Source organism: Homo sapiens, chromosome X, assembly GCF_000001405.40.
Source record: "Homo sapiens chromosome X, GRCh38.p14 Primary Assembly".
Taxonomy (NCBI): domain Eukaryota; kingdom Metazoa; phylum Chordata; class Mammalia; order Primates; family Hominidae; genus Homo; species Homo sapiens.
The window spans coordinates 110,290,440-110,316,329 of record NC_000023.11 but is presented as its reverse complement, the minus strand read 5'-3'; the positions used below and the strand labels follow the sequence as shown (position 1 = coordinate 110,316,329).

The 25,890-nt window shown below is 36.6% G+C and overlaps 1 protein-coding gene across 3 annotated transcripts in view, besides 3 other annotated features; it reads left to right on the top strand.

The window, feature by feature from the left end:
• Positions 1-25,890, top strand: part of AMMECR1 (AMMECR nuclear protein 1) — a 246,048-nt gene that overhangs the window by 123,904 nt on the left and 96,254 nt on the right. The gene's annotated exons all lie outside the window — the stretch shown is intronic.
• Positions 585-684: a silencer, noted in NCBI's record as "silent region_20939". NCBI's record gives its function as "represses an Ori minimal core promoter by ATAC-STARR-seq in GM12878 lymphoblastoid cells {active_cell/tissue: GM12878}" and the evidence as "EXISTENCE:reporter gene assay evidence [ECO:0000049][PMID:35858748]".
• Positions 5,360-5,409: an enhancer, noted in NCBI's record as "active region_29851". NCBI's record gives its function as "activates an Ori minimal core promoter by ATAC-STARR-seq in GM12878 lymphoblastoid cells {active_cell/tissue: GM12878}" and the evidence as "EXISTENCE:reporter gene assay evidence [ECO:0000049][PMID:35858748]".
• Positions 5,420-5,469: an enhancer, noted in NCBI's record as "active region_29850". NCBI's record gives its function as "activates an Ori minimal core promoter by ATAC-STARR-seq in GM12878 lymphoblastoid cells {active_cell/tissue: GM12878}" and the evidence as "EXISTENCE:reporter gene assay evidence [ECO:0000049][PMID:35858748]".

Genomic DNA, 25,890 nt, shown 5'->3' with positions numbered 1-25,890 from the left:
CCTTTTCATTTTGTGAGATTAGAGGATTGGACTACTGTTGTATAAGTATAAACATTTCTGCCTAGACTAAAATATTAAATTAATATGTAAAGTGGAAATTACAATAAAGTGTCCTGGAAATTGTGCATTTGTACTGTTTGTTTTCTTTGGCTTTCATTCTTTAAATGTCTTTAATTTTGTATGACTCTTCTGTGGTCTGTGCATTTTCTTTTAGACTTGGTTAATCTTTGGGCATTGGTTTATGAGAAGTGCATGAAAGAGCATCCAGGAGAACACTTCGTCAAATAAATATCTTTATAAATTTCATAGTGTTAATTCTAGAAGCTTAAATCCTAAGTCCACACTTTTATTTAGCCAATTCATTTTTTTGGTTAAGAAGTAAAATTCATTTTGAAAAGACTGCCATGTAAAATAAATCTATGAAATATTTATTAGCTTGAGTCACTTATTTGTGACTTTTATGCCTTCTCTTGGATGTCTGTGATGTATTAAAGCTAGTCCTGGGATGATACTTAGGTTGGCTCTGCAAAGTCATGGGACTGCAAAAATTCACTCCTGTTTAGTTCTTGAGCTGTTAACATGAGTTTGGCAAAGGCTGCTTTAGTATTCACGCTCCATTGCTCCAAAGCATATGAGAACACACTTTCAGGAGGTGCTATTTTCACACATTTTACAGTGAGTTTGGGTTAACTCAATGACTATAACAAGAATTTTAAAAGGAAAGTGAGCTTGACCAGTTCATACAGAAAATGCTTTTGAAAATATCATTTTAACAGTAGCCACTTTGCACACGTATTTAGATATTATTCTATTCAAACACCCCAGCCCCTGGATTTCTTTTTCATGGAATTAAGCAGATGATAGGACACACTTTGACCACTGTGGATATGTTGAAACGGTGGTGGAAGAATAATAACTATTATCATCTAGCAGACCTTGAATGTGTCATGTATTCTATAAAACAACTAATGTAGAGTAGACACTAAACATGACCAAGTGGAGAATGAAAGTTCACTTAAGTGGAAAATGGACTGTCTTATTTCCATTTATCTTCAACTCATTTTTGAGGTGTACTGTGGAAAATTCAGGAAAACTTCCTGATTATGGGAGGGACATAACTAAGCATTTCAACAGTGCCTTAGTAACTACCACACATTTGTCTTTCTGTTTTACATATTTAACAGCATTGTGTACTTATTAGTGTTGCTTTATCCTAAGTGCCATAAGACATAAACAGACATATTGGGATTTTTTTTTCTCATAGTTATTATCATGTCATGAGCAGTGTGTTTCAGGTCATGTCTCTGCCCACCAGATGTTGTGCTTTTGACAGTTTTAACTTCTCATACGTAAACGCACACTCTTTTCATCCTTTCCCAGGACTTTTCTCTCAGAATGTCTGTAACTGGTGAAATCCTCGTTTTATGGGTTTAGAAGCTGTAGATCCATCAGTTAGTTATCCTTCCACTCAGTATTGAGGGGATGTCAATATATGAACAAGCTGTATGGATACAAATTCTTCACTGTTGCCCCCATGTTTTGATTACCTACCCAATTGCAGAAAGCATTGTACAGGCAAGTTTGTGCACAGAAATCTGGTTAAAGACATGAGGAAAACTTAACTTTACTGCATTTTGATATTCAAAATCAGCACTCTTGGATTTATGTAGGGAGCCCAGATAGCTATTTTATAGGAACCTGTTTGCTACTATAAAGGGATCCACTGTGCCAGGTGTTGAGCTAGTTAGACTCCAGAGCAGTCATTCTTAACTTTGGCTGCACATTGGAATCACTGGGAAGTTATTAAAAATATGGATGCCTGAGCCCCAACTCCAGAGATTCTAATTTAATTGGACTTGAATGGGGTCTTGGATGGGGCCTGGGAATCAGGATTAGTAAAAGCTCACCAGGTGAGTTTAATGTGCAGCCAAGGTGGCGAACCACTGGTTATAGTCTACTGAATCTTTCTCTTGAGATTTGGATAATTTGGGCTAGGGTAGTGCCTTGGAATCTGAATTTTATGAGCACCCTAAATTTCAGTAAACAACCGATTTGAGAAACTCTTGCATTGTGGTCTGCAGAAGACATCACCTGGGAAATCATTACAAATATAGGCTCTCAGGCCCCGCCTCAGACCTGCTGAATTAGAGTCTGCAGTTTAACAAGCTCCTCAGGTGATTCTTACGCACATTAAAGTTTGAGAAGGACTGGTTCTCATACTTTGGAGTACATCATAATCTATAGTGCTTGTTAAAACACAAATTGTTGGGCCCCATTCCCGGAGTTTCTGATTCAGTTGGTGTGGGGTGGGACTGTGAATTTGCATTTCTAACAAGTTCCCTGGTGATGCTGATGCTACAGTTCCCAGGGCCACACGTTGAGAACCTCTGGAGAGAGAATTGAGGACCTGAATAAGTACTTGAGCGACTGTAATGGAATGGCAATTTTCAAGGCCAGTTTTCAGTATAAAACTTCCTGCTTCTGTGTCACTATGCTTTAGCATGTTCATTCTAACCTAGCACCCAGGAGATTGAGTGCTGCCGAGAGTATAAGAGTCTGAGGTTCTTGGGATGGTTTTAGTTGAGGGGTGAGGGTGACTCTTGGAAACCTGTGGTATGATTTTAGGTCCTTTTTCAGAAATTGTTAAATGTAAGGGATACATTTTAGGAGTTAAAAGCATTACAAATATGATACCTTAAGGTGAATTATATTGATTTTAATAAGTAAAGCCCCCTTTGTTCCCATAAAATGCTCTTATGATTCTTTCACTAAAGTATTGTGAAAAGATTTTAAAAGCTTTTACTTATGCCTATGGTTGCTGGATTTCATTTTAAGACTTTCCCTCTGTAACAAAAATATGAAAGGATTCTGCTAAGGCACTGGGATTGTTCAGTCTTATATCTTTAATGCTGCTGCGTGTCACGTTACTTGAACTTTTTATTTTAATCATCCTACCACCTTTGAAGTTAACGTAATACTACATTTTGTATAGACCATAGCACATAGAAGATTCTTTATTATTAAAGTACATCAGTAAGTGTGGTTTTAAATTGCAATTAATAAAATGTATTTTAAAAAAATCCACTCCCGCATATGCAGATTTTGAGACTCTGAAGAGGTGTTTTAACAGTTAACTCTTTCTCGTCTTGCCACCGTAGTCAAGTTGCTGTTTTTCAGTGTGCTTGGGAGGAATTGGGTTGTGTTGGGGAGTAGGCATTTTGTTTCAACAGAACTGTGGCAATCCTATTGCATTATCAAAAAGATGATTTGATAGTGCTGCTCAGGTTAAAATGATATTAAATTTGTATTTTAAATATAAGCCATTATATTTCTGTTATATGTTTTCTGATGAAGATTGACCAGAATAGCCAGAAGATGTATCTGTCTATCGCAGATGATGCCATGAGGCCATGACAGATTTCCTTATCCACACTAACATAACGGTACTAACTTGCATTCTCTGGTCATAATGTATAGTTTTTCTTATAAAAGCAAAACACTGTCTGAACAATTGAGTCATTTTGAAGGTATAATATGGTTGTTTTTTTTTAACAATGTTGATTCCCATTGGAAGACAATCTGATGTCGTATCTTATGGATAGAAAAGAAGGCAGGCATGTCCCCAGTTGTCAGTTGTTCTGTAAAAGCCATCAGTGACTGAGCTAGAAGGATGGAGAAATATAAATCACAAAATTGTTTTTATATCCATGCATAAAGGTGTATGTGGGACAAGGTATATTTAGTTAAAAAGAAAATGCTTATTTTGCTTTCTCCCCCATATGGCCAAAGGGAGTGATAATTTAGCCCATAATTTTTCTTGCTTATGAATTATGTTTGTGCTATACTCAGGTTTCAGTTAGCGGGTGGCAGCCAAGTAGGAATCTCTGCTGAAATCTCTCAGTCCAATGGGAAGAAAGACCACTACTGAAAAAGTAAAAAATGGTCTGTTAACCCATGCATGAGTTGTTTTTCTAAGTATGTATTTCTCAGGCACATGCTAACATGTGTGTTGTTGTCTTTTTAAAAACTGTATGCTTTTTGAAACCAAATTTGTGTTATAAATACTAAAACCTTAGCTGTAGTGGATTATATTTTTGAAGTGAATTGCATTTCCTATTTATAGACAGTTTTACTTTTTGAGAATTTATGTGTGAAACACTAAAACTTGTGTAATGAGATTAGTCAGTTCCCAAGTTTTCCTGATTTCAATAGGCATTATTATGTACTCTCGATGTCACACATGCTTGGCTCTTATAAAGCAGCACAATGACCAGGGCTTTTACATTTAAATTTTGTTAAATAGTCTCTTTTTCAAACTTGTGTAATAATGTCTCTTTTTGATACTGTTCTGAATCAATTAAGCTAAGTAAGTGAGGACCAGCAGTAAAACCCAGCATCTGCCAAGAATGGACCCTCAATGTGTAAGCTGTCTTTCCACAATCAGTAATTGGGCAGTTGCTCACAGGACACTGGAGACAGTGTGGGAAACCAGTGGTTGTGTAGGTGGAAAGAGTAGATTCCCAACAGTAAGCTTATTTAGAGTTTAGCTTCTGTAGTTAGTGTTGCTAAGAGCAAAAATGACCCACAGTTTATGTAGTATAAAGAAAATAACCCAAAGGAAGAAGTACAGTGTAATAGTATAGTTGGTTGGGTGGAGCATGTTTTATGTTCAGTCCAACTATAAGTGGCATCTTTTGTATCAAGTGTGGGTGTATTTTCTACAGCTCTTAATGTTTCAGACATTGAAACTTGCTCAAAGTTAAAAATGTTAGTGTTGAATAGCTGAGTGGAAATTATATGTCATTGGAAAAAAAAACCCTGTTTTTGTAAAAAATATACATTATCCTGAGTTTCATGGTTGGAAACCAGAAAAATAGAAGGAATAGTCCTATCCTCACAGAGCTTACAGTCCTGTTCAAGATATGATACTATTATCAAAGTTGCTTGAAATACTTACAAAGCAATATATACATGATTGTAGATTAATAAAATACACATAAAATGCATACACATGGAAATGACATGGAATAAAGGAGTGGTCAGGGAGAAGGCTATAGGGAGGGAATAACTGGAACCAAGTTTTGAAATGGAGGAGGTACAGAAATTATTGGTAGAGTCTGTTTGACCAGTAGATCTTGAAGTCTTACTTGGTTGTTCTTAAACCCGTTGCTGTCACCACCACACCCCTTGCCACAGTACTTGGGGATTCCCAGCAGCTGTCTTCAGTCAGCAACTTGCACTCTCAGCATTCTTCATATCACTCCCCTTGCTCTGGTCTCTAAGATCATAAAACTTCAAGGAAATTAAAAGTGGCCTTTGTGTTGAGAATCCTCTGGGGAGGCTGGATAAGAGATCTTGTATCTGCTTATAGTTTCTTGTATTAGGAAGAGAACAGGATTTGCAGAAGAGTCCTCTAGAGTATCAGATGAATTGGGAGAAGAGTCTCAAGATAGGGGAGACTAACTAGGCTTAAGGTTATGAGGGCAGTAGGAAAACTGGCATTGGAAAGTGGGAAAGCCACCCCAGGGGCAGAGTTTGTGAATATAGGAATGTTGCAAAATTGAGAATTGGAAGAAGTTATCAGCATATGCAAGGGTTCATACTCTAGGGCCAGGTTTTGTGTAGGAGTGGAAAGATTGTAGCTCACCTGTTTTTGGCTTCCATCATTGCCTCTTCTTTTCTTGGCTCTGTGCCTAGCTATTCTTGTGCTCAGAAAAAGTTTGTTAAACAGCTCTGTTGAAATGGCTATGAAATTTGATCACAGGCATAAGAACTCTCCTCCCCTTTCCCTCTTCACCTATTCCCAGCTGTATCTAATTTGGGAGAAAGGATGAGAGGACACATCGGTTTATAGAATTTGTATCAAATATAAAGATAGCTGGAATAGCTTTTGGATGAGGACCTGTGATTAGGTGACTACATGTGCATGGAGAGGCACTGCAGGAAAAAAAAAAACAAATTCTGGTTGCTTGGCAGAAGTAAAAGAAGAGAGGCTTTGAACATGATTCAGAGTTCATAAGCCTGGGGAACCATGAGGATGGTGGTGCCATTAAAAAACATGGGGGGAATATGGGAAGAAACAAATGGTTGGGCAGGTGAAATCAGATTTCTTACTATGTGTAGTTCCAAGTGTTGGCAGTTATCAAATGTTATTTCTTTTTGAATTACCAGAACCACAGAGCAGCAACAGAGCTATTGTGATGTTTTAGTTGGCCCCTTGGGATCACTCCCCCACTTTGTGACTTTGAATGGCTCAGATAAGTAGATATCAGTGATAGTTTTCAGCTTTGTACTGCTAGTAAAAATACCTGGCAGAATTTTGGGTTTCTTTAATGTAGGTTTTTACATTTTCTTAGTCTTCAGGCTTATCAATTTGTAAAGCAGGCAGTGATCCTTTTATTTCCTTATGTGTATATCATAGTACAGCCTTGAGCAAGATAAAGCCTCGTGGCAGGCCATCTCAGGAATTCATAATTTCAGAACTAAAGGGAAATTTTTGAAGGACTAGAAGTGCCTTTGGTACAAGATTCTAGGTTGTGTGTCCTAAAGCTTAGAAAGTAAAATAGATTGAATCAAGCTGGATCTGTTTTGTGGCTTTGCTCAATGATGAAGGATGGATGTTATGAACTGATGGGATCAGCCATATTGCTTTAGGATCTTTGCGATCTTCAGTGGATGGGCAAAAGTGAAAAGTTCTGCTTGAGTAAAGACCTACTAATACTAGTTTTTTTCAATAAAGTCTGTGATAGTCTTGATGATTCTTGCCTTTTCCCTATCTGTTTCATTTTACAGATAATCCACATTGTTACCCAAAGCCACATGCAGTGCCGGGAGAGCACAGTTGACTGTTTTATGCAGTATCCTGCCAGAAGATGCTGACCAGTTCTCTAGTAATAGAAAGTAGTGAGATTGAATTAAGAGCCTATATAGTTCACCTTGCCATTCGATATACTTTCACTGTGATCTGTAAGCATATTACATACAACTTTAGTAACATATTTTCTAGTGAGATCTTGGATTGCTGCAAGGTGGTAACAGATTCTCTGCTTTGCTTCAGGTGTTAGTGGATCTTTGAGTAATTCCTATGGAATGGAGTCTCTGAAAAATTGGTTTTGATGCTGTTAGCCTAGGGGTCCCACAGCACTGTATCTGCCTCAAATAAATGCTTATGTACTAGTTACATTAGTGTGTTTCTTTTCTGTGATATCATTATCGCTTATAGTAGCCTAGCAACCACACGGTTAGGTTTAGGTGGTTTGGGGTGCAAATAAATTATATAGCTGGTAAAACTTGGGCCTCAGTACATAATTCATTGTAGCAAGGCAAACACTTTGTGCTGATTTTGAACAAAAGTGAAGTGTTTAGATTGACGGGTGCTTTTTTACCTCCTTTTTTATATGGTAAGTAGAAGATGGCATTGGTGATTTATTCAATAAAGAAGAATCTCATGAAGTCTTTGCCTTTTTTCCATGTTAGAGTAGGTATTCTCAACACAATTCATGTGTTCTCAACACAATTCATGAGTTTCCCTATGATAATGACAAAAACAAATTAAAAAAAAAACTTGCCACAGCTTCTTTTGCATTAAAACAAAACAAGCCAATAAAAAACTTGCCACTAGCTTGGCTGGGTACTTGATTTTGTGGAATAGCTCTTTGATGTTAGGAGTAGGTACAGAGAAAGTCAGTAGTTAAAATTTTTTTTGAGTTCACAGATCCATCTACCCCCACACTCTTCTACTTGTCCATTCAAAAAACCCTCACAAGAACAAAAAGGAATAATATTCTATTTTTCCGACACTAATGAGGTGGGTGATATGTGGTTTGTGGTATACTTTACTCCACAAACTCCTCCAACTATTGTCCTGTCTGGCAATTTTTGTGGGAATTGACTCTCCCACATTGTAGGCATTGGCTGTGTGGAGAAAGAGAGTCACATGTGGTTCGAGGCAGGGACAGAGGGCATATAGGAATCAGGGAGGGAGTAAAATGAATTGTATTCAAGTTAAGTGAAGCATGGATTCAGGGCAGAAAAGGGAGATTGAGCACCTGATCTGGAGCAGGAGTGCTTTTTATGTTTTACATCATAAAAACTTAGATGTCCCTCCTTTAGAATCAATGGCCACAGCATTCTTGTTAAAAAATAATTATTCTGGCTAGGTGCCATGGCTCACGCCTGTAATCCCAACACTTTGAGAGGCTGAGGCAGGAGGATTGCTTGAACCCAGGAGTTCTAGACCAGCCTAGACAACATAGTGAGACCCCCATCTCTACAAATTATATATTTGAAAAACTTAGCTGAGCATGATGGCATGCGCCTGTAGTCCCAGCTACTTGGGAGGCTGAGGCAGGAGGATTGCTTGAACCCAGGAGGTCGAGGGTGCAGTGAGCCGTGATCACACCACTGCACTCCAGCTTGGGCGACAGAGTCAGACCATGTCTCAAAAAAAAAAAAAAAAAAAAAAAGAAAAAAAAAAGTTTCTAGCAGAAGCAAATGCATATCATGAAGTTTCATAATATGAGGACCTGCTATGGGTCCTTTTAATACTTATAAGAGACCATATTGAAAACCATTTGTACAGTGTCTTCAGAATGAGGCCTCTACATAACTCTGGAAGCTATGGGACAAGTAGCTTTACCCAAAACAGCATAAATGTAGCCACTCTCCTGTAATTATCCTTACTTATTTTTCTTGACTTGTCTATGCACATAGCTATAAATCCTCAGGTATTCAGACATATCTTCTTTTTAGGCCTGTATATTTATATTAATAGCCTCTACTTAGATGTGTGAAGTTTGTTTCATGTAGTTTGCTCACAGTTATTATCTATAACAAAGATTATGGAACAGGCACTATTAAATGATAGACCCAGGTATAATTTCTGACTGGCTGCAGAATACAGTCATACAAAGGTACATACCTATCTCTTTTGTACTTTATCTTAGAAGGACCTACTATGGTCAATTTAATTTGTAAATTACATTCTCACAGATAACTGGAGTGTCAGCCATTTTTTGTTTATCAGTTTATCTTTTATCATATACATGTAGGCTGATGGTAGTTTACTTTTTTTTTTTTTTTTTGGAGACAGAATCTTGCTCCATCACCCAGGCTAGAGTGCAATGGTATGATTTCGGCTCACTGCAACCTCCGCCTCCCGGGTTCAAGTGATTTCTCCCGCCTCAGCCTCCCAAGTAGCTGGAATTACAGGCACCTGCCATCATGCCCAGCTAATTTTTGTATTTTTGTATTTTTGTAGAGACGGGGTTTCACCATGTTTGCCAGGCTGGTCTTGAACACCTGACCTCAGGTGATCTGCCCGCCTCTGCCTACTGAAGTGCTGGGCTTACAAGTGTGAGCCACCGTGCCCAGCCACTTATTTTTTATGGTGGTAAAAAAGATGAGATTTTTACCCTGTTAGTAAATGTTTAAGTGTATAGTAATGTTAACTATAAGCACTCTGCTTAGCTTAATTTTTAAAGGCACATAATAGTGGCTTTACCTAAAGCAACTCATTTCTTCTAGGAATTTTGGGAATCCTTCACAAATTAACCTTATAAACTTACTAGAGGGGCCAGGCGCGGTGGCTCACGCCTGTGATCCCAGCACTTTGGGAAGCCAAGGCGGGCGGATCACCTGAGGTAGGGAGTTTGAGACTGGCCTGACCAATATGGAGAAACCCCGTCTCTACTAAAAATACAAAATTAGCTGGGTGTGGTGGTGCATGCCTGTAATCCCAGCTACTCCGGAGGCTGAGGTAGGAGAATCGCTTGAACCCAGGAGTCAAAGGTTGCTGTGAGCTGAGATCACGCCATTGCACTCCAGCCTAGGCAACAAGACTGAAACTCCGTCTCAAAAATAAAAAATAAAAAAAATAAAAGTACCAGAGGTGCATAGCTCCTTTTTACAAGAGAGCCTAATTTAGGCTTCGAGGTATTTATTTTTCCAAACCTATTGAAAATTATGAATAAACTAAAGGCATTAAAATCAAAAGTAACTTTTTAATTTTTTTATTTTTTATTTTATTTTATTTTTCGAGACGGAGTCTTGCTCTGTTGGCCAGGCTGGAGTGCAGTGGCGTGATCTTGGCTCACTGCAAGCTCTGCCTCCGGGTTCACACCATTCTCCTGCCTCAGCCTCCCGAGTAGCTAGCTGGGACCACAGGTGCCCGCCACCAAGCCCGGCTAATTTCTTTTTTGTTTGTTTGTTTTTAGTAGAGACGGGGTTTCACCGTGTTAGCCAGGATGGTCTCGATCTCCTGACCTCGTGATCCGCCTGCCTCGGCCTCCCAAAGTGCTGGGATTACAGGCGTGAGCCACCGCGCCTCGCCCAATTTTTTACTTTTTTGAGATGGAGTCTTGCTCTGTCACCCAGGCTGGAGTGCAGTGGTGTGATCTTGGCTCACTGAAAGCTCCACCTCACGGGTTCAAGTGATTCTCCTGTCTCAACCTCCCGAGTTGCTGTGATTACAGGTGTGTGCCACCATGCCCAGCTGATTTTTTTTTTTTAATTTTCAGTAGAGATGGGGTTTCTGAGGAAATGTGTTTTCTAGAGAGATGGAAAATTGGAAGATAAATTGCATAATGGGATATTATAAGTAAGGCCGTTAAGTCTATATGTGTATATATAGACTATATAACCATTTCAGTTAAGCACTTCTTGAAATTGCTTCTTACAGTATACACACTTGTTTCTAATGAAAAACTTACATCTAAGTGTGGCAGTGGCATCTGTGAAATAATAGATATGATCAAGTTGCAGGTCTTGAAAGTTGTTTGTTTGCCCTGTTTTCTGTACAACCAGTATGAGGCTCTCTATCATTAGCTGGGGTGTAGACGTTTTAAAAATAATATCACTGAATTGTAATGCATCAATTTGGGTTTTGGAGCAGTATCTAACTTGTTCCATTTAGAGGTGGCTTTGCAGTTCTAAACAAGAAAGTAGAATTTTTACTATGATTATCCCTTTGCTTACAGGCTTTTAAAATGAATATTTGTTGAAGTCTCAAGTCTTTTTTGCCAGTATTATCTTAAGACTGTGTTTGACATCAATACCTATCTCTTATTCTATGCAAGTACTGCTCTTAATATTATGACTGGTTCTAATATTTCATTTCAACAAGTAATACAGCTGTTCTGGGTAGAACACTATGCTAGACCCCTTTATGAGTATGGGTGAGAAATCTATAAAATAGGCATAAACCATGCTTCATGTCCTTAAAAAGCTTGCAGTCATACTGAAAAGACAAGATTCATGAAACAAATAATGAAGTCACATATGATTCAACAGCTAAATGAGTGATGGAGACAGTGATGTCTGTAGGACTCATTGTTTGGGTAGACTAATGTGGGCTAAGATTGTACAGGAGAGCTTTACAGACAAAATAGGATTTAGGCTAGGTAGAACTTTCATAGATGGAAAAAGCAGTCTAGGCAGAGAAACATCTTAGACATAGGTCAGGATGAGCATTATACAGTGGTCAGTGGGTACCAATCAAAAGTAGGTTGAAGTGGGGGAGAACCTAGCAAGAAAGGGGACCTGTAAGGAGACTAGCTATAACAAGCATTGGGAAATGAAGGTCTAACAGTTGACAATTTTAAAATTTTAATGGCCTGTGAGTGGCCTCTTTCTTGGTAAAATTTCTCTTTGTCTGTTTAATTATGTCTCACCAGCACCTTTAATGTTGTGAATGTCATGAAACCTTGACAAGAGACTAGGAAATAACACAAGCAGTAGTCTGCTCTGTAGACAAAGTGCTTTCATTCTTCAGTACGCATTCAGCTTAAGTCAGTTAGATTAACATTGGTTATGTCACACTGCCTGAGTGCCTTCTATGTTCAGTGATCTTTTTTCTTCTGAACTTCAGTGTCTCAAAGATGAAGTTAGAAAAATTGTCTAGCTACAAAGTTATGTAGTTTAAAAATACTATAATTATGATACAATTAAATGGTTTGGTCACTTTCTTTCCTCCTAAAGTTAATGAAGAAATTTTACTTGGATATTGCAAATTTAACTGAGATAATTTAGGTACTAGGGATTATAATAATTTTAGGAAGATTGTGAATGATGACAGTCTTCTTTATGAAATTAATTTAAACATAGATTAGGCTAATGGGAATGTTCCTTATGGTTCTTCACATGAGCTTTAAGAATGCTACAACTCTTAAGAAACAATCTATATAAGCAAACTTGTAAAGGTTTTATACTGTTATTTAGAAACAAAATTCTAAAATAGTTTCCTGAATTACAATGAGCAGCATATTTTTAGTTTATGTTGAGGAATGATTATGCTTTGAAGAAAAAAACAAGCAAAATTCTCAGTATTTTAGCTGAAGATGTGTCTTTAAGACATAAGTTTAGAACTTAAACTTCTTTTTCAGTGATCACTGTAAAATTCTATTTTAGTAACTCCCTTCTGTTATTCCCAGAATATGTTTTAGAATATAAGAAAATTATTTTCCAAATATGGGACTAATCTCTGGCAGATTGTAAAGCATGAGCATTGTATCAGTATACTCAGGAAACAGAAAACAACACTAGCGTAATGCTCACTAACAGTGTTCTCTATGTAGTCAGTTTATGTCTATAAGTAAATGAACTCTCCCTCCTATCATAGTCGAATCTGCAATTTGAATTATATACTATTAGAGTGAGGAGAAAAAATACCAGATGTTAAAATAGTGGTAGTACAATATTTTTGAATAAAAGTTGTTGAAGAGGTAGATGTTGACCCTATGTAATAATCATAGACTCCTGCCACATAATGGGATAGGAGGCCAAATGGAATCCAGTGGTTTTTAGTACAGACCACACAGAGGTTCCTGATCACTTTTAATATCCGTAAATCTTTCTTAACAAAGGTGGATGCCCTCATCAGGGGAGTGGGAGGCAATTTTGTTTATACAGGGTTGAACTATTTAGATTTCAACTTCATTTTTCACAGACTTCAAACAACGTGCATCTCAAATAGGCAGGCACCTCCATAGTGTAGAGCACAACTGGGGGAAAAAGTCAGGGCTTTTCTGTTTTGATTGTGGCAAGAGAACAAGCAAACCCATTTTAAAGTGAAAAAAATGGATGTAGGTCTAACGGGCCCTGATTCCTGTCTCCATTGGGCTACACATAGAACCTTTGCTTCTGTTTATTTCCGCTCAGTCTAGAGAAATTCAGATAAGTTCTTACAGAAGAGGAGTGCTTTAGTCTTTAAGGTTTCTTTCACTTTCATTAAGTTATATTCACCATCTCATAATAACCCTTCATTAACTCTTAACTAATTTAAATAGTTTGTACCAGTCCAGCACGGCCTCAGGTCCATTCATTTTCTCAGAATTGTTATATTTAAACACTTTTTACTTCAATCTCTCCCACCCCAAATTTGAAGTATAAATTTAGGAAAATCAGTCAATCTCTCTCTCTCTTTTTTTTTTGTTTTTTGATTTGTTTATTTATTTTTTTGGAGACCAAGTCTTGCTCTGTCGCCTAGACTGGAGTGCAATGGCGTGATCTCGGCTCACTGCAACCTCTGCCTTCTGGGTTCAAGCAATTCTCCTGCCTCAGCCTCCCAAGTAGCTGGGGATTACAGGTGACTGCTACCACGCCTGGCTAATTTTTGTATTTTTAGTAGAGATGGGGTTTCACCATGTTGGACAGGCTGGTCTTGAACTCTTGACCTCAGGTGATCCACCCACTTCGGCCTCCCAAAGTGCTGGGATTACAGTCGTGAGTCACCGCGCCTGGCCTAGGAAAATTCTCCTCTTACCCCTTCTTCAATATAGTTTCTCTCTGGAGCTTTGCCATTTTCAAGAGCAGTAATCTTGAATATTTGAAAGCTTGGTAGCACCTTCATTATAGAATTTTTACTGTGTAAATTCTAGCAATGTTTATCACTAGCAAAGTTCTTTACTGGTCCTGCTGGTTTTCCATTTTTGGGAGATGGTAGAATGATGGGAATGGGGAGGTGTAAATTTATGACTTCCAAGTTTTTTTTTCAATCATTGGATTTGAGTGTCTACAGCAGTGTATAAACACTGTCTAACTGGGTGAATTTTGGAATCAGGGCAGTACAAATCTAAAAAGTTTCTAGAATTTTTTCCAGGGTGATTTTAAAGCAGAGAATAAATGAGATGTCCCATTGTACCCCTTCCTCCTGTGCTTTACCTGAAAGAAGGTATCTTTTTCTCTTATGCATATAACTGAAACCATAAGATCATTGTGGATTTATTTGATATTATTGTTAGTTAGAGACTGACCTGGTTATATGTAGCTGTATTCAAGATGGTAGGACTATGTGCTTATGGTTTTCAGTGAAGTATGGCACAGGCTTATCTTTTACTCTATGATTCCATTCCCATGGAAGATTGGAATGCTTGAAAAATTATTTGGCACTATTTCTTTCTTCTTTTTCTACTGTTTTGTTTTAAATTGTAGGTTTCAAAATGTTTAAATAAAATTTTTTTTCTAATATGTTTAAAGTCATGGATTTTTGATTTAGTGTCTAAGAATGGATTTTAGGGGGTTGGCAGACATAATGAAATTTCATGCAAAGATTTGTATAAGTGCATTTTTCTGATTAGAAGTTTCATATCTTTCATCAGGTTTCCATAGAAGCTTCCTATAGTGCCAGCTTCTTAAGAATATTCAAGGAGTTTCAACTAACATTGGCTGGGAAAGTACAAGTCGGCTTCACAACACCCCTGAAATCTATCCTTGGACTCTAGACTAGGACCTCCTAATGGACTCTAGATTAAGACCCCCTGCAAGCTCCTCAAATATCTTATCCCCAGATATTTGTCACTATTTGACCTGTCTGGCAGCTCCTTGGGAAGGCCCCATTCACCAGGCTTGTCTTTATTTGATCTGACTCAGTGGAAAAGCCCTATCCTCAGGACATTTGTTGAAAACAAGCAGCAGCAATTGTTTAGCACTGTATCTGCCTGAGGTGGCTGACTTTTAGACCCTGTGCAAGCAGGAAGTGAAGGCTATGGCAGAATTGTAAACTCTCAGAGCATTGAAGGCATACCCAACACAGGGCCCTTTGGCAAAGGATGAAAGATCTCTTGGTTCAAAACATTTTAGAAAATATGTCGATCATTAGCTGACCACTAGGTAGCTGAACAGATACTTCAATGGACACACATGACAGGGAATATAGGCTTTACAGAACTAGTCCAGGAAAGTCACTAAACAAACAGTAACAACAAACCTTAGGGGAGAAGTGATCTGATTTCCAAACTTTCCACTTTATATTGTTTAAAATGTCTAGTTTTCAACCAAAAAAATTAAAATACAACCAACAGTAAACTATGGCACTTAATTCAGGGACGTAAGCAATCAATAAGAACTGTCACTGAGGAAGCCTAGATGTGCTTACTAGATGAAACTTTAAATCAGTTGTTGTAAACCTCTTCAAAGAACTGAAGGAAATCATGGCTAAATAAAAGAAAGTATGAGAATATTAGACATATTAGGAAAGAAAGAAGCATTTATCTAAACATATTGGAAACTATAGCTATGTGGTGGTGTGCTAGAGGATAAATGAAGCCACAGGGTAAACATGATGTCTCTTCTTCGAATGTCAGTTTTCCAGAATTAAAACTGAGAGCATAAATTTGATATTGAAACAAATATAGGTATGTTATAGTGTAGAATGTAAAATTCACAAAAATAAAGCATTATGAAATTTGCCATTTGTGATGGGCCACTTACGGCAACTCTCAATTCCTACTCATTTCACACCTTTAATTTATTTTGCCTATGATGTACGTCAGTTGAAAAGTTTGAGAAGTCTAATCTAATGATCTGTTGCTTCAGTGATTGTGGACCAATGACAATCCTATGTTAGAAACAAATGGGCATGTCACAGATAAGAGATAACTGTAATAGAAAACCGATTTCCACAGTATACTCACTAATTGACCATTGTGTTATTTTCACACTTGGAATATCCTACCTTTGATGAACAAAAGGAATACCTTTACACCTGAATTGACATTTCTCCAAAAAAGACATGCAGATAGCTAATAGGTACAGGAAAAGGTGCTCAACATCACTAATCATCAGGGAAATGCAAGTCAAAACCACAATAAGCTATCACCTCACACCTGTTAAGGATGGCTGTTATCAAAAAGACAAGAGAACACAGGTGTTGGCAAGGATATGGACAAAAGGGAACCTTTGTACACTGTTGGTTGGAATGTAAATTGGCATAGCCATTATGGAAAACAGTATAGAGGTTCCTCAGAAAATTGGAAATAGAACTACTATATGATCAATCCAGCAATCTCACTTCTGGGTATATATCCAAAGGAAGAAAATAGTATATTGAAGAGATATCTGTGCCCCCATGTTCATTGCAGCATTATTCACAGTAGCCAAGATAACAACCTAAGTGTCCATTGACAGAAAGTGGATAAAGAAATATACACAATGGAATATTAATCAGCCATAAAAGAAGGGAATCCTGCCATTTGCAAAACATGAGTGAACCTGGAAAACATTATGCTAAGTGAAATAAGCCAAACATAGAAAGACAAATACTGTATGATCTCACTTTTTATGTGAAGTCTAAAAAAGTTAAACTCATAGAAACAGTTGTATGGTGGTTGCCAAGGTCTGAGGGGTGAGGGAAATTGGGAGATACTGAGCAAGGATACAAACTTTCAATTATAAGATGAACAAGTTCTTAGGATCTTATATAGAGCATGGGTGGTGATGGGTGTGATAATTTGATTGTGATAATACACAGTGTGTATACATATAACAAATTATGTTGTACACCTTGATCTATAAAATCTTTACTTTTCAATTAAATATTTTTAAAAGGGAATACCTTTCTTGTTTTGAAAATGCTTGATGTGTCTTTTCTCACATTAATGTAATTTAGAGGAAGAGAAACAGATTTGAAGAAGCCTGAGCCAAGGGATTATAAGTTATCCTTGAAAGCACAAATACTATTTATCATGCAGTTTCCCTCATGAAATGTTTTACGGCAGACCTGTTTATCTCATAGATCTGAGTCAAAGCTGAATTTAACACGTTAAACTTTAACTTATCCAGAATTAGTATCTTTTGTCTAAGAACCAACACTAAAATATTTCCTTATGTTAATCACCAACACTAGAAATTTGCTTAATTTTTTTTCAAAAACAAAATTTTGTATCACTTTTTGAGTTACTGCATAGTTTATAATGCAAAGAAAACATCCAAGCTTAGTGAAATGATAGGATAATTACTAACTTAGCAATTCATTCACACATATTAACTTTAAAGTACACAAGATTCAAATTCTTCAAATTAATTTCTCAATTAAATGAAATACAATGAAATGTAAATAAAATAATTAAATGAAAATTAATTAAGGACCTTAATGGTTGCTTATAAATTCCTGAAATTGCGGATTGTATGTCCATGGAGTCTGAAGATCCATAGTAATTAAAACGTATTGTGTTATATATGTTTATAGTATGCTCATGCTGTTTTTTAAAATATGTATAGAACATTGAACTCCACATAATTGATAGCATCATAAATATCATTGAGACTACTGTTGTTGATTTTCATGAGTGATTTCCTCTATATTATCTGCTCTGTTTAAGTTGATTTTCCAAGAAGAGGTCTTAATGACTTTGTAATCACTCTTACAGTGTTTTATTCATTGTGATTGACTATCAGTATTTTTCCTCTTGCAGCCTGACTCCTAAACCCAGAGTCTCATATACAATTGTAGGTGCTACGTTAAGAGAGACAGGGCAGTTATATGGAAAGTATTATGTGTTCTTTCTTTTCGCTTACTCTTCTCTCTCTCTCCCCCACCAACCACACACAAAGGTATAAGGTTGTTTTCATATCATACCTGCAACTAAACTCATTCAGGATCCCCAGACCTCTCTAAATGGGAAACCACTTGTAATAGGTTTAACATCTCCTAATCTAGTATTAGGGTAATGCTACTATTGTTGTAAAAGTTTCTCATAACTTGTAATTTGCTTTGGCATCATTATAATGAATAATCAATTGTATGATATAAAATAGTAAGTGTTCTAATGAAATGCATTTTAAAAATGTTTGATTCCTTATAAGACTTAGATCTTATAATGACCATTTTCTTATTTGATCAAAGAAATACACTGAGACCTTAGTAAGCTTCCTTCTGTTTAGTTATGACTTCAGGTATTGAACTAGATGCTGTGCAGTCAGTCCTACCATGACTAGGATCATTTATAGTCTCTCATGTTCTTTTATTTAAAATTAAAGTATGTGAATCTTTAAAAAAATAAAGCAGTATTTTAAAAATACTTGAAATACAGCCAAACGTTTATAACAATAAATGCTTTTTTATTCCATCTGTTATTAAAAATACATTTGTTTCCCTGTAGTCACCAAAGGTAAAGTAGAATATAAATCAAAGCTGATCATATTTTCTCTCTTCTAATTCTATAGATGTTTATGAACTTTACCTAGCAGCTTATGTGTACATATCACCAGGGATTCCACATATTTTGTTGGGCAATTTTAAGAGCTGATGCCTTTTAGGAAGACACCAATACCAGAATGATTTTCAAACTCAAGTAAAGAGGGTATTTCTGGAATATTGGAGTAAGGACTTCAGAAAATCTACTCCCCTATAAAAGCAATGTCTGGCAACAATTGTTAAAAACAAGTTTTTCAGAATTCTAAAAATTAACCAAAAGCTTCCAACAACCTGAGGAGTGTTTATTCAATAAAATAGCTGATTTTCGGTTAAAAAAAAAAGTTAGATTTGTTGTATTTTAACTTGCCCTAATCCAATCAACCTTTCCCCAGATCCAAAATATCTCTGGAAACTAGTAACCTTGCATCCATGGTAGCTGTGAAAACCTGTAGCTACTGGAGAGTTGCAAGCTCCTCACATCTTATCCCCAGATAATTGTCACTATTGACCTGTGTGGTAGCTCCTTGGGAAGGCCCCATTCACGAGGCTTGTCTTTATTTGATCTGACTCAGTGGAAAAGCCCTATCCTCGGGACATTTGTTGAAAACAAGCAGCAGCAATTGTTTAATACTGTATCTGCCTGAGGTGGCTGACTTTTAGACCCTGTGCAAGCAGGAAGTGAAGGCTAAGGCAGAATTGTAAACTCTCAGAGCATTGAAGGCATACCCAACACAGGGCTTTTTGGCAAAGGATGAAAGATCTCTTGGTTCAAAACATTTTAGAAAATATGTCGGTCATTAGCTGACCACTAGGTAGCTGAACAGATACTTCAGTGGACACACATGACAGGGAATATAGGCTTTACAGAACTAGTCCGGGAAAGTCACTAAACAAACAATAACAATAAACTTTAGGGGAGAAGAGATCTGATTTCCAAACTTTCTACTTTATATTGTTTAAAATGTCTAGTTTTCAACTAAAAAAAATTAAAACCAACAGTAAACTATGGCACTTAATTCAGGGAGGTAAGCAGTCAATAAAAACTGTCACTGAGGAAGCCTAGATGTGCTTACTAGATGAAACTTTAAATCTGTTATTGTAAACCTGTTCAAAAAATGGAACGAAACTGTGGCTAAAGAATTAAAGGAAAGTAAGAGAATGATGTCTCACCAAATAGCAAATATCAACAGAGAAAGAGAGACGTTATAAAGAACCAAATAGAAAATCTGGAGTTGGAAATTACAATAGATGAAATTAAAAAAATTATTAAAAGGGTTCATCAACGGATTTGAGCTGACAGAAGAATCAAGAAACTTGAAGATAGGTTAACTGAGATTATCATATGTGGAAAAAAAGAAAAAAGGTAGCAAAGCCTAAGAGACCTGTGGGACACCATGTAGTATACCAATGCACACATAATGGAGTCCCTGAAGGGGATAAAAGAACATTTGAAGGAATAACTGCTGAAAACTTCCCGAATTTGATGAAAATACTTAGTATAACATCCAAGAAGCTCCATGTACTCAAAGTAGGATAAACTCAAAAGGATTCACACCCAGATACAATGATAGTCAAATTGTTGAGAGACAAAAAGAATCTTAAAAGCAGCAAGAGTGAAGAGACTCACAAGGGATCCTCAATAAGCTTAACAGCTAATTTCTCAGCAGAAACTGGGTCGGAAGGGCAGTGGGATGACATATTCAAAATGTTAGAAAATAAGACTGTCAACCAATATTTCTATATCTAGCAAAACTATATTTTATAAAGGCAAGATAATTAGGACATTCCCAGATAAACAGAAACAGATAATTTGTTGCTGAAGACCTGTTTTGGAAGAAATATGAAAGGTAATCCTTCAGGGTGAAATGAAAGGAAACTATTAAGTTGAATGTACAGAAATAAAGAGTACTGGTAAAGGTAACTACATAGGTAAACATAAAAGACAGTATAAAGGTATGTTTGTTTATAACTCTTCTATCTGATTTGAAAGACAGCAGCTGCATAAAAAACTAATTATAAAACTGTTGATGGGCGTATTTCATATAAAGATGTAATTTGAATGACAGTAATAGCACATAGGGGGAGGGAGGGAATAGAGCTATAGGGGAACAGAGTTTTTGTATATTATTGACACTGGTTGGTATTAATCTGAACTAGATTGTTTTAGGTTAAGATGTTAATTGTAATTCTTAAGGCAGCCATTAAGAAAGTGACTCAAACTAGAATAAAGAATTGGTAGTTAGCTTTAGAAATTTCAGTGCTTTGGCATGCAGGTTAGATTCTGAAAGTGAGGTTATAGATTATTTCCAAAGTTAAGCTTTAGTTGACAATTTCATATGTTGTAAACATGTACAAGTATATTGCCTAAGTAGAATATTTGGTACCTTTTTAGATAAACTTCAATAAAATACAGAGAAAATTTATAATCATTAATTCTCAGAACATTTTCATGAGTTAAGAATTGATTATTGCTCCAGTTTTTAATATGAGAAAACTATACCAAAGAGAATTTAAACTTTGCCTGCCTCTTCCAAGTATGATTTCTAATATGGTGGGAGTTGCAGTACTCAAGCATGGTTTAGTAACATATCCCTCTACTCTCCTCAAAGTGCTTAATGATATTTTTGATATTAAAATTAATATCTTTAATAATTTCATCACACTTCTCAAGAAACTGAAGACAGTTTAAAAGTCTCTTTGAGCTTCCCTGCCTTTCTTTCAGAACAATTTCAAGAGACCTTCAGTCTAATGTGAAGTATCTATCACTAAATGTGTACATCTATTGCCCAGAAAGTTGTTTTTAGCTCAGGTGGAGTCTCTAAATAGACCGTGGAAAATTGTTTTCTGAAATAATTATGGCACATCAATAAAACTGCTGAGTCTTTTTTTTTTAAAATAGAGGTTTATGGATTTTAGAATTTAGTTATCTGTTAATGAGCAAATTAAATGCATCCTTGAAAAAATTAATTCAAGTATTTTTTTTTTAAGTTTATACCTAAGGCAGTGTGGGAGATTCAAAGGTAGAAGAGATGTGGTTCCTGCCCTCATCAAGACTTCCTATTAGGTTGGTGCAAAAGTAATTGCGTGTTTTGCCATTAAGGACAAGTGTAAAGAGTTGTAATATGAAAATGGATTACCTTTCATAATTAAGTATAACGTATCTCACCTAATGACTTACAAAATAACAAAGTTCAGTATCATAAATACCATTATAACTTACATTATAGTACTGATTTGTTCCTCTGGGAAGAAAATCAGCTTTTCTTTTGACTTGGTTTGAGTTCTGTTTATTTGAGAAAGAACTAATGTGGCAAACCAAATGAATAAAAGCTCTCAACAGGTTTTAACGCATCTTGAACCATCTGCTATTAGCACCAAGCCAGTACTGCAATGTTTCTGGAGCTGGCTGTCAGGATCAGGGATGTCCTGCAGACAAAACAAGATTCCTAGTGTAGGAAGCTATTGAACTGGTACTCTCAGAAGTGACTACCATCTTCTTCCCTCTCCCCACTAGGGATCTTAGTCTCCTTATTTAGCATTTGTTTACCACATTTCAAAAGAGTAGCTTAGCAGTTTTTTAGAAATGTTTCAGCTTAGATGTAAGCTGTACATGATTGAGGAAGGGAGAAAGGACACAGTGCTAGTATATAGATAGTAAAAGTGCTGATCTCATCTCCGTGAAGTCAGAGCAACATCCTCGGGGATGAGGCTTGGTCTAGTTATGATAGCATACTTTCTTTCCATAATATGCTTGGAAAAATATTTACCCTCAAAACAAATCCACTGTACTATTTTAAGCAAATTAGTTTGGTTTTAAATCATATTTTAAAAGTTATTTAATTTTTAAATTACGAAATTTTAATTAAATGAACTGTCTTCAGAGATGATTGACCTAGACACAAGTAACTATGGGAATACTGTGATAGATAAGGCTTCCCTGCCCTTAAGAAGTTTATACTCTAGTAAGAGAGCTAAGTTATACAACTCAGATAACTGTAATACAAATAAGTAAGTGCCTTATATAGGTATAAACAAAGCCTGTAGTAGTTAGAGGATGATGACTGTAGATGGGAGATTTTAGCTAAGGTGTCTGATGAGTCATTGGGTTCACAGACATACAGATATTAAGATTAAAAGGAAATTTATAAATCATATTTCCATGAAAAATCCTGCCTTCACTAGAATAAGCCTACATATTTTTCAGCATTGGTATTTAGGGATAGACAGCTGTTGACCTGAGGATGACTTAGGCTAATGAGTTAATTTTTAAAACATCATTACAGGGGCAGAATCAATGGTAAAGTATCCTTCTGTGTCTGGGTTTATAAGAGTAGGTCAAAAGGAATGGCCAGGATAACAGGTCAGATAAATTCAAGAAAATCAGGCCCCCTAATGTGTCAGACATTGTGACAGGTACAGGTAATACTATGGTCCTTTGCTCTTCAGTAGCTCATAGCCTAGCAGGAGAACTCAGAATGCTAGATCATTGGAAGAACTTATCTCTAAATCTTATCCCATGATCCCTGGACCTTCTAAACTAGATGAAGGAAAATATACCAGATGGTGGGGATACTTTAAAATCTTCTGACAGGAAAACTGTGCTCCTGGAATGAACTTTTTAAAAAGGTAGTATACTCACATGGTGTGAAATCCAAACACACGAGGACAATGAGATATAGATTTCCCTCCTACTCCTTTCGCCCAGCTACCTAGGTGCTCTTCACAAAGGCAAAAACTGCTGCCACCAATTTCTTGTGTATCTTTACAGAGACAGTCTATGCATATACTACTAGAATTTATGTACATATGCATGTCTTTTTGTTTTGCACAAAGAGTAGCATACTATACATACTTTTCTACATCTTTTTTTGCAGTTAACAATCAATTTTGTAGATACTTTTTAAAAGACTGTTTTAAGAGCAGTTTTGGCTCACAGTGAAAGTGAGAGAAAGGTACAGAGATATACCGTATACTCCTTGCTCGCACATATATATAGCCTCCCCCATTAACAACACCCCACACCTGAGTGGTACATTTGTTATAACTGATGTCCCTACATTAACACATCATTATCACCCAAACTTCATAGTTTAAGGTTCACTTTTGGTATTGTACATTCTAAGGGTTTGGACAAATGTATAATTATATGTACCCACCAGTATAGTATCATAGAATTTTCACTGTCCTAAAAATCCTCTGTGCTCTACCTATTCATTTCTCCCTCCCTAACACTTACCTTTTTACTGTCTCCACAATTTTGCCTTTTTCAGAGTGTCACATCGTTGGAATCATACAGTGTGTAGACTTTTTAGATTGACTTCTTTTACTTGGCAATATGCATTTAAGTTTCTTCTCCATCTTTTCATGGCTTGATATTTCATTTCTTTTTAGTGCTGAGTAATATTCCATTGTCTAGATGTACTATAGTTTGTTTATTCATTCACCTACTGAAGGATATGTTGGTTGTTTCCAGGTTTTAGCAATCACAAGTAAAGTTGTTATAAACACCATTTTTCTGTGGGTTTTGTGTGGACATAAGGTTTCAGCTCCTTTGGGTAAATACGAAGGAGCATGATTGCTGGAGTGTATGGTAAAAGTATGTTTAGTTTTGTAAGAAACTCTCAAACTGTCTTCCAAAGTGGTTGTACCATTTTGCATTCCCACCAGCAATAAACAAGAGCTGCTATTGCTGCACATCCTTGGAGATACTTCTGTATCAGCACACCTGCAACTTCCTGGTTCTTTTCTTTTTAAAAACTATTTATTTTGAAATAATTACAGGCTCACAAGAAGTTACAAAAATAGTGCAGCAAAATCCTGTGTACCCATCACTCAGCTTCCCACTGGTGATATATAATTATAGTGTATTATCAATACTAAAAAATTGATTGTCACAATGTAATCAACTAGACAGCAGTACCTGTTTCTTTTTAATGCCTACAAGACATTCCATTCTATGGGTGTTTTATTTAACCAGTCCTTTATTGCTGGGCATTAAAATTGTAGTATTGCTGGTATAGGGAAAGATAGGAGAAAATAAAGTCTGTGTATTCGGGGCCACTGCTGGCATTTACATTGCTTTTATGTGAATTAGAAAAGAGTTCCCTCTCTGGGTGGATGTAGTCCCATAGGCACATGGCTTGGGAAACTAGAATATAACCTAGATAAATGTTTTTAGCACCTCTGCATATATATCTCTTTGAACTTAAGTGGGAATACATATGCAGGATAATGGACTGTCATTTAAATTCTGCAATATAACATCAGTGTTCCAATGTGAAACTTCGAAGCTGTCCCTTTCAGATTTAGCATGTGCTCCCATCCTCCTACCTGTAACCGTCATCACCTCTCCCAAGTACCTTAGGTCTTGTATATTTTGTGTTATTATTATTATTAAGACAGAGTCTCACTCTGTCGCCCAGGCTGGAGTGCAATGGCACGATCTCTGCTCACTGCGACCTCTGCCTTCCAGTTTCAAGTGATTCTCCTGCCTCAGCCTCCTGAGTAGCTAGGACTACAGGTGCGCACCACCACGCCGGCTAATTTTTTAAAATACTTTTACTAGAGATGGGGTTTCACCATGTTGGCCAGGCTGGTCTTGAACTCCTGACCCCAAGTGATCTGCCCACCTCAGCCTCCCCATGTGTTGGGATTACCAGCATGAGCCACCACGCCCGGCTTGTATTTTCTATTATTTATGTACATGTCTACCTTACATTGGATAGTAAGCTTCTGTCTTCTTCTTTATATTTTCTGTCTTCATCTTTATATTTTCTTTCCCTTCTCTTCCCCACTCCACTATTATCAATCTACATAGAACATCATTTTTTATAAACGTGCTGAGTGAATTTTTGTTTAAAATTTTTCTTAAGGTGAGGAAGTTAAGAGCAGTGAATTTTTAAATCTGCCTCTCAATACTTCAAGAGGTGTCATGAAATTTTTAAACCAAAATTATTTTCAATTAAAGTACCCACACACTCCACACTCATAGGAGAGAAAAAGAGTGTGTTATTAAGTCAACCAACTCATAATGGGGTGCTACAGTTTCAAAAACATTAATAAGCATTGTAGTATTGAAGAAAACGGGGTAGTAGAACTTGTGACATTGCAAGCAGGGAAGTATTTTATATGTATTGTACACTCATGTTCAATAAGTAGAATTCTGAGAAGTTGCATAAGTCTTGTGCCCTAAAAATTCCTGATTTCATCAGATCTTAACTTCTGTATGCCATTGATTTAGGAGGGAAATTGTCCATTTTTAACACTGGCCTTTTCATTACTGTTAAGCACCAGAAATATTTTATAAAATTTTAATAATATTAAATATTTCATTAAAACTTACATCATTGGACTCATATGTGGTACATATCAGGACTGCTACAAACACACAAGAATGGAAATGTACTTTTTAAAAAAAATGTGTTTTCTATTACATAGACGTTATACTAGCAATGTAACTAAAATTAGCAGAGTAATCATAC